At 39.0% G+C, this 9,595-nt stretch overlaps 1 pseudogene, besides 1 other annotated feature; it reads right to left on the reverse strand.

Annotated features, from left to right (window-relative positions):
- PMPCAP1 (PMPCA pseudogene 1) lies at window positions 5,841-7,947 on the reverse strand (annotated as a pseudogene).
- Window positions 7,245-8,444: an enhancer, noted in NCBI's record as "MED14-independent group 3 enhancer chr4:93104511-93105710 (GRCh37/hg19 assembly coordinates)". NCBI's record gives its function as "activates an origin of replication core promoter dependent on BRD2, BRD4, P300/CBP and CDK7 cofactors, and independent of MED14, by STARR-seq in HCT116 cells {active_cell/tissue: HCT116}" and the evidence as "EXISTENCE:reporter gene assay evidence [ECO:0000049][PMID:35650434]".

Raw genomic sequence — 9,595 nt, forward strand, 5'->3', positions numbered from 1 at the left:
TCAATTCAGAGAATTCAGAGGATCTCAGTGAACTTCAGGGAGACCTGACACCTATCCCTGATGGTTTTGGAGGTATATATATGAATTGGGTTTGGCCAATTTCAAACCCTGGCCAAAGTAATTGGTTCAGAAATAGGGCCATGACCTAAGACAAAAGAATTCATCTTTAATTTGATATATCAAAAAATATGTTCTTTCTAACTCTAGTGAACTTGAAAATTAACTGGGACCTGTTAGCTCTTATCTAATGTAGCTTGCCAGAGAATTGCACCCAATGGATGAAAAGTAAGTTATCATAAGGAGAGAAACAGTATTTAAATATAGCACTTGATTTCCTAGGTTGATGTGTCTAAAGTTTGACCACTAATAAAGATCCCTGTCATTTTATTTTTTATATTTTTGCTTAAGCCAATTTGGGTTAGATTTTCTGTAAATGACAAGCAAAACAGTCCTTATTAGTTGACAAAGTTAGGATTCAAACCCAACTCTGTGTACTCTTTGTGTGTACTTGCTACAATTGTCCATGTTAAGTAACTTTAATTCCCACACACTAAGTAGATCTAATTATTATAAGTTGAATTAAAAGCAGGTGAACATTTTCAGTAAAAAAGTTATAATGTTCTAATTCAGTAAATATCACAAAAAAAGTTTAGAGAGACATTTCACAATAAATAGAAAGCATAGTTTGTATTTTAGAGCTTTGAGCTTACCGTCTACTTAAAAGGATATAAAATTTCTTAGGTTCATGGATCAGTGTTAAGAGATCTCTAGCTCTCCTGAAATTATATGCCAAAAATTATGTGTGTGTGTGTGTGTGTGTGTGTGTGTGTGCATTTCCCTGGGCTGAAATTAGTAGCTATTGTTTAAACAATTCTTAATAGTGTCCATGCTCCTCAACAAATTTAAAGACTATTAAATCAAAGCCTAGCTCATAATGGTGATAATCAAGGAAGAGCTACTGATTACCTGAACTGCTGATGTTTGCCTAGTTCCAGAGAAAGAATGGAATAGCTTTTGTACCTACTACTGCTTACTGAGACATTACTGAAATCCACATTAGCAAAAGTCCAAAAAAAGAAAACAAAAAGTTACCAAAATATTTTAATAGATAGCAATAATTTTAAAAACTATATCTAGATATTATACATGGGAATAAAAACTTTTATTGTATAAAATATATGTTTATCCATGTTATTCATGGGGCTGACGATACAGACACCTTCCTCTCTTGAGCTGCCAAAGCCTCAGCCATGTGCAGTTATATAGAACCAACATCAGACTCTAACTCTGCCAGGTTTTCAGCCATGGTCTTTGTTCCCTGGCCTCACTGGGGCACATTAGTGTAAATTCTGCAGCTTGCCAATAGCGCATGCTTAGTCAGAAATGGGGAAATAATTTTCATTTTTATTCCTGAGTCTTAACCATTTAATCCCATCATCTTTCATTACATTTTCTGTAGAAAACAAAATCATCTCTACCTCTCTCCCAGCCTCTCATTCTTCCATCTCCATTATTACTACTATTGAAAGATGTATCAGAATCTTTTTCCTGGAGAAACTGAGCACAAAATTTTGCATTATTAACTAGTTTTATTTGGCATAATTTATTGGTCTAGCTTCCTGATTCATTTAATTAAAGACCACAATAGGCACATTGAAATCCTAGCAATGAACATACATTGAATAAATATTTATGAGGTGAAAGGGTTATAATAATAGAATGCCATAAAAGTGTTTCATTTTCATTCATCTATATATTACTTCATTTAGTTTTTACAAATATTTATGTATTCATTCATTCAAGAAAATTTATATTGACTGCTTACTATGTGTTAAGCAGTGCTCTAGGCATGACACATAAAACATTAAAGTTAAACAGACTTCTAGCCATCATGCTGTTTATATTCTAAGAAACACAAAAGGAAATTAGACATGTAAAACACATACGATGCAAATTCTGGTAATAAACAGGGAAAATAAACCTAGAATGAAAAACTTGTGGATGAAATTCCAACTAAACAGAAAGGCTAAAGCCAAAGATCTGAGGCAGGAACAATCTCAGCCTATTCAGGAATTATCTACTATTCTAGTAGTCATGCATATTTTTCACAAAGAAAGAAAGTGAGACTCATATAAATTGTATGACCTTGCTCAAGACCACACATTTTGTTGGTAAGACTCCTAGAACCAGAGCTAAGATTGGTAACTGGTAACTCATAGCTCATGCAATGAAGATGGTTCTTTCTAATAAAAAGGTTACCCAGTGAGGTTCTGTGAAGGAAAATGTGGCATTGACATAGTGGATAAATACAGATTAGGGATACACACTGTCTCTCAAATATCCCCTTAAGACAAAAGGCTTAATTTTATGCATTTTTGTATTCATATGCATTAGTGTTATGTCTACTAAAAAACAATTAATATAAATCAAGATTGCATTTAATTCTGAGATTTGGAGTTTGGCATCCTGTGTTCAAAGATATATCACTTAATAACAAAATACTCTTGGTTAAATCACATTGTTATCCTGAATATTTCCTTACTTTAAAAAATACAAAAACTTATACTTGCAATAAATAATAGTGTGCATATGAAAAGTTTTTATTAGATATCATATTCAGGGTATATATCATAGCTACTAAACTATTATATTTTCACAGATGACGTTTGCTGAGAGCATAGGAAAAACACCCATATTGTCAATGCTAAAGTATAATCCCAACTCGGCATGGTGAATATAGTCCCTAAGTAGCCAATATTTTAAAACACTTGGGGATAATGCAGGCTGTGCCTTTGAGAATCTTAAGGAATTCTCCTGTTAAATATATGTGGTAACATCAGGGTAAAGAATAACAGAAAAGACAATAAAAACCAAAAGCAGAAAATCTAGAAAATTCACAAGTTCCTACATACATACAACATACCAAGACTGAACAAGAAGAAATCCAAAACCTGGACAGACCAATAACATGTAATGTGCTTGAAGTCATAATAAAAAAAAGTCTTCCAGTAAAGACAAGCCCAGGACCTGATGACTTCAGTGTTGAATTCTATCAAACATTTAAGGAAGAACTAATACCAATCTACTCAAACTCTTCTGAAAAATAGAGGAGGACATACTTCTAAACTCATTTTATGAAGCCAGTATCTAATACCAAAACCAAAAACACATTTAAAAAGAAAACTACGGGCCATATCTATGATGAATATTGTTGCAAAAATCGTCAACAAAATACTAGCAAACCGAATTCAACAATACATTAGAAAGATCATTCACCATGACCCTGGGAGATTTATCCCTGGGATACAAGGATGATTCAACATATGCAAATCAATGAATGTGATACATCATATCAACAGAATGAAGGACAAAAATCATATGATCATTTCAATTGCTGCTGAAAAAGCATTCGATAAAATTTAATGTCCCTTCATGATAAGAAAGACATTCAAAAAACTGGGTATAGAAGAAACACAACTCAAGATAATAAAAGCCATATGTGACAGACCCACAACTAGCATCATACTGAATAGAGAAAAACTCAAATTCTTTCCTCTAAGATCTGGAACAGGACAAGGATGCCCACTTTCACTGCTGCTATTCAACACAATACTGGGAGTCACAGCATTCAGATCAGAGAAGGAAATAAAGGGCAATCAAACTGGAATGGAAGAAGTCAAATTATCCTTGTTTGCAGCTGATATAATCTTATATTTAGAAAAGCCCAAAGACTCCACAAAAAAACTGTTAGAGCTGATAAACAAATTCAGTAAAGTTGCAGGATACAAAATCAACATACAAAAGTCAGTAGCAATTCTATATGCCCATAGTAAACAATATGAAAAAGACATTTAAAGGGCAATCCTATTTAGAATAGCCACACATAAAATTAAATACCTAGGAATTCACTTAGCCAAAAAAGAGAAAGAGCTCTACAGTGAAAACTATAAAATACTGATGAAATAAATTGAAGAGGACACACAAAAAAATGGAAAGATATTTCATATTGATAGATTGGAAAAACCAATATTGTTAAAATGTCCATACTACCCATAGCAGTCTACAGATTCAAAGCAATCCCTATTAATATACCAATGACATTCTTCACAGAAATACAAAGAAACAGTCCTTAAACTTACATGCAACTACAAAAACCCAGAACAGCCAAAGTCATGCTAAGCAAAAGGAACAAAACTGGAGAAATCACAATACCTGACTTTAAATTATTAAACAGAACTATTGTAACAAAAACAGTATGGTACTGGCATAAAAACAGACACATTAACTAATGGAACAGAATAGAGAACACAGAAACAAATAAACACACCTACAGTGAAATCATTTTTGACAAAGGTGCCAAGAACATATACTGTGGAGAAGACAGTCTCTTCAATAAATGGTGCTAGGAAAACTGGATATCCATATGCTGAAGAATAAATCTAGACCCCTAACTCTCTCTATATATAAAAATCAAATCAAAATGGATTAAAGACTTAAATCTAGGACCTCAAGCTATGAAACTACTACAAGAAAATATTAGAGAAAATCTCTAGGACATTGGTTGGGGCAAAACTTCCTTGAGCAATACCCCACAAGCATAGGCAACCAAAACAAAATGGACAAATGGGATTACATCAAGTTAAAAAGCTTCTGCACAACAAAGGATATGATCACAAAGTGAAGATACAACAACACAGAATGGGAAAAAAATATTTGCATACTATTCCTCTGACAAAGGATTAATATCCAGGATATATATGGAGTTCAGACAACTGTATAGGAAAAAAAAATCTAATAATCTAATTAAAAATGGGAAAACTTGCCAGGCACGGTGGCTCACACCTGTAATCCCAGCACTTTGGGAGGCTGAGGCGGGTGGATCACGAGGTCAGGAGTTCGAGACCAGCCTGGCCAACATGGTGAAACCTCATTTGTGCTAAAAATACAAAAATAAGCCAGGTATGGTGGCACGCACCTGTAATCCCAGCTACTTGGGAGGCTGAGGCAGGAGAATTGCTTGAATTGGGGAGGCAGAGGTTGCAGTGAGCCGAGATCGCACCATTGCACTCCAGCCTGGGTGGCAAGGCGAGACTCTGTCTCAAAAAAAAAAAAAAAAAAAGGCACAATTTTAAATATAAATTTCTCTAAAGAGGACATACAGGCAAACAGGCATATGAAAAGGTGCTCAACATCATTGATCATCAGAGAAATGCAAGTCAAAACTACAATGAGATATCATCTCACCCCAGCTAAAATGACTTTTATCTAAAATACAGGCAATAACAATTGCTAGCAAGGATGTGGAGAAAAAACCCTTGTACACTGTTAGTGGGATTGTAAATTAGTACAACCAGTATGAAGCACAGTTTGGAGGTTTCTCAAAAAAAACAACCATAGAGATAGCGTATGAGCCAGCAAAATCATTATATTTAAGAGATATCCATACACTCATGTTTGTTGGAGCACTGTTAATAGACAAGATTTGGAAGCAACCTAAGGGTCCCTCAACAGATGAATGGATAAAGAAAATATGGTACATATACACAACATAGTACTATTTAGCCATAAAAACAGAATGAGATTCTGTCATTTGCAACAACATGGTTGGAACTAGAGATCATTATGCTAAGTGAAATAAGCCAGGCACAGAAAGGCAAACACTGTGTGTTCTCAATTATTCCTGGTACCTGACAATCAGAACATTTGAATTCCTGGACATAGAGCGTAGAATGATGGTTACCAAAGGCTGGGAAGGGTAGTTGCAGGGCTGGGGCAAAGGAGGTGCAGACAGTTAATGGGTGCAAAAATAATAGAAACATTGAATAATACCTTTTTTTTTTAGAAAGATGCCAGCTCTTTACTACCAGGGAAGCGGGCGTGCACACGCGTGGACCGCGCTCCTCGGAGTAGACCAGGCCCTTGCCTTCTCCCGTTTGTCAGAGGTGAGTCCTGGTACCTGACACAGGAAGTTGGTGGCCTCTGGGGAGGCTCTGATAGTTTGGCCTCTGCTGCTTCCCGGCTCAGGGCTTGCTCCTCTCAAGGAACCTGCGGGACACCATGTGCCTAGAGAGCCCCTGAGGAGGGGGAGCGCTGACCCAGCCTCCTCATGGCACGCTGCCCTCCAGCGCTCCGCACTTCACCTGCTTCCTGGCTTGCCGTGGTCAGGGTCAGTATTTACTCCACTGATTGGCACATTCAGGTTCTGAAGGAATGCAAACTGCGTGGGTGCTCTGGCGACATTGTTTGCACTGTTTATACAACCAGACAGCGTTTTAGACTAAATTCGTGTCCAAACTAACACGCACGGGAACAGGCTCCAGCTGCAGCTCCTGGGTCCATCAGGCCAGGGAGCGGCTCTACCGGAAGATCCGGTAAGTCCTGAGCAGGCGCCCGTCCTTGCTCCACAGGGCGGTCTGGATGTGCTTGTAAGCGGGCAGGTCGGTCGATTTGCCCAGGGCGGCCACTACCGGCTTCCCCTGGAGTATCTTAGAAGCAACTCTCTTCACGTCTTCCGGCTTCTCGTTGCGGATGAACGTGCACAGCTCCTGCGGCAGCTTTCTGGAGCGAGTGGCCAGCACCTGCCTCCCCACATCCTCGAAGATCACAGGCCTGGACTCCAGGTTCATCATGAGCATGGACGTCAGCTGCGTCTTGGCTCGTTCCAGCTCCACCGCGTCCACGGTTCCGCCCATTAAAATAAACTCCTTTGTGGTGATTTCTACCATTTCTGGAACCTGCCTCGGGTCGGCGCTGGCAAGGATGCACAGGAGGCCAGTGTCCTCGTAGCTGAGGTAGTAGGAGGTCGCGTTATATATCCAGTGGTGCCTGCTGAGCACATCGAGGTAGAGCCTGGAGAATATGCCCTTGCTGGGCCTGCCAGCCGAGAAGGAGCCGCCTCCGCCCATCATCATGTTCAACAAAGCGAAGGGGATGAAGTCCTCCTCCAGGAAGGAGCAGCTCTCCAGTCTGATCCCCCATCGGGGATGGGGGTCGGGCCCAGGCTGACGTCTCTTTCTAGCTTGGCAATCCCCCCAGTGTACTGGGCCACTGTCAACATCCACAGCCTCCGCGCTCCCTCAAGCCGCCTGGACCCCCAGGAGGTACTTCCGGGCACATTCCACCAGGTGCTGGTCCTCCACACTCACGCCAGCCAGTACCACGCGGTCGGGGGTGTAGTAATTCCGCAGGTAGGAATGCAGCACTTCCCGATTGATCTTTGCTATGTTTTCTGTGGGACAGAAACGGTGGAGGCCAACTGTGGTGCCTGTTGAGCACGTTGAGGTAGAGCCTGTAAGCCGCTTCATGAATCATCTCGGTGAGGAGTGGCTCTGGGTCAGGCTGCATGTTCGGGTCCTCCAGCTCAAACTGGACCGCCATCTGCATCATCTCGACTTCTTCATCTGTTAGCTGGGGCTGCAGAACCGCATCAGCCAGTAAGCCGAACACCGTGTCCAAGCCTTTACTATCAGCAGACACAGCATACGTGGTGGTGTCACTTGATGTCTGGCAGTCACAAATACCTCCATGCTTTTCCAACGTAAGCAGTATTTCATCTTTGCTGTTAAATCGAGCATTAGAAGAAAATGCCAATTTTTCCAAAAAGTGAGCAATTCCACTAAGGTATGTTGCTTCATATCTTGATCCTGAATTAATAAGAATTCCTACTATACAAAACTGTCCAAACTTATTTTGAGAGGCCACGCGAAACCCGTTATCCAATGTGGTTTGAAACTTTGGATTCAAACTTTTCCTGTCCATCAACTGTAGCAAAAACATGCTTGGGTACTCCAGGTAAGGCAGAAGAGAGGGGGATGTTGGGATAGGTGCCACCACTACTAAACTGTCTGTACGCAGGAGGTCCAAACCTCAGCCGCTAGCGGCCCCGAGAACCTGAGCCCCTCAGCGACCGCGTAGCCGCCAGCACCGTAGCCGCCATCTTGAGTCTCCGCCCATTGCTTCTGTCCGAGACCTACTTTTTGATAGCAAAACAGAGTTACTACAGTCAATAATAACTTAATTGTACATTTTAAAATAACTAAAAGGGTATGATAGGATTGTTTGTAACACAAAGGATAAATGTTTGAGGGGATGGATGCCCCATTCTCCATGATGTGGTTATTACGCATTGCACGTCTGTATTCAAATGTCCCATGTACCCCATAAATATATATGCACTTACTATGTACCACAAAAGTTAAAAATTTAAAAAAGCCTAAAATTATAAAATAAAAAATACTGTAAGTAAACAACGATTATAAAGATCTCAGGCTACAGAAACCCAGATTTATCTTTAAAATGTTGTTTTAATAAACCACCCGCTGCATGCTTCGGTTATCCTGGATAAAAATATCAGAGTAGTCTTAGGCACATAAAGAAGGTAATATGAGCCTATTGGTGACTGTTAATTTAAAACAATGATTGCAGTATCATATAACCATAGAACCTGATGATTTTAAAAATACTATTGCAGAAATTCAATAGTAAACTATGAAACCAAATCCACAGCTATTTTTTTTTTTAACAGATAAAAGCTGTATGACTTGGGTGGAGTAGCCTATAGAAATTAGCTTGGCTGAAGCACTACAGTGAGAATCTATGTTTGGCTGAGAATAACCTTGGATTATATCCTATGTGCAAGCTAACTTGTTTAGTCATGGATGCTGGCAAAAGATACGAGGCTTGGGTCAGAAACAAAGGAACTTCTTACTCTCATGACATAGCAAGCAGTTTAAGCTTTGTACTTACTTTGGATTGCTCTGTTTATCTCCAAGCACCACTAACATAATTAGAATGGCCCAATGCAGGGAATTTGTGTTATACAGTCAACGAACCCTGAATCTGAGAAACCTCAACTTTGCCCGAGAGAGAGACATTGTCCTTACTATTCTCAACAACAGACAAACCTGCCTCTCCTCCAAATGGAAATACAATCTTTATTATGTTTCAAGGCTGTTTGCTATACAAATATCTTTGAAAAGATAGTCTGGAACGAAAGCTGTCAATGCTTCTGCTCAGAAAACATATGGAAACCCAACATTCATAAAGAGTTGTCTCCAACAGGTAAGCTAAGAAAAATTCATGCAGGTCCTTCAGGGGTTTTGAAGGTTGGGCCTAATTAATGATCTATAACAATTTAAGATTTTAAGCTGATTTTATTTGACATAAAAAGGGGGAAGAATGTTTTGTTTTAGCATTATGCTAACAGAAAGACCAGTTATAAAATAAAGAATGGGAAATGTTAGGGTCTGTACTTAAATGTTATCAGTAAGAAAGAGTTTATTGGAAAATTCAATGGAAATTGTGCAGTATTTCTAATGGGAACTAATAACACTATAGGAAATAAAAGATAAGGAATATTTTTAAGTGACATCATCCCTACATATAAAATTTAATATATGAAAAGGGTGCATCTTAAATTAATTAACAAAAAAGTATATTTACCAGGTGTGTCCAATCTTTTGGCTTCCCTGGGCCACACTGGAAGAAGAAGAATTGTCTTGGGCCACACATAAAATACACTAATAGTAGCTGATGAGCTAAAAAAAAAATCACACAAAAATCTCGTAATGTTTTAAGAAAGTTTATGAATTTGTGT

The sequence above is a fragment of the Homo sapiens genome, chromosome 4 (genome assembly GCF_000001405.40).
Source record: "Homo sapiens chromosome 4, GRCh38.p14 Primary Assembly".
Taxonomy (NCBI): domain Eukaryota; kingdom Metazoa; phylum Chordata; class Mammalia; order Primates; family Hominidae; genus Homo; species Homo sapiens.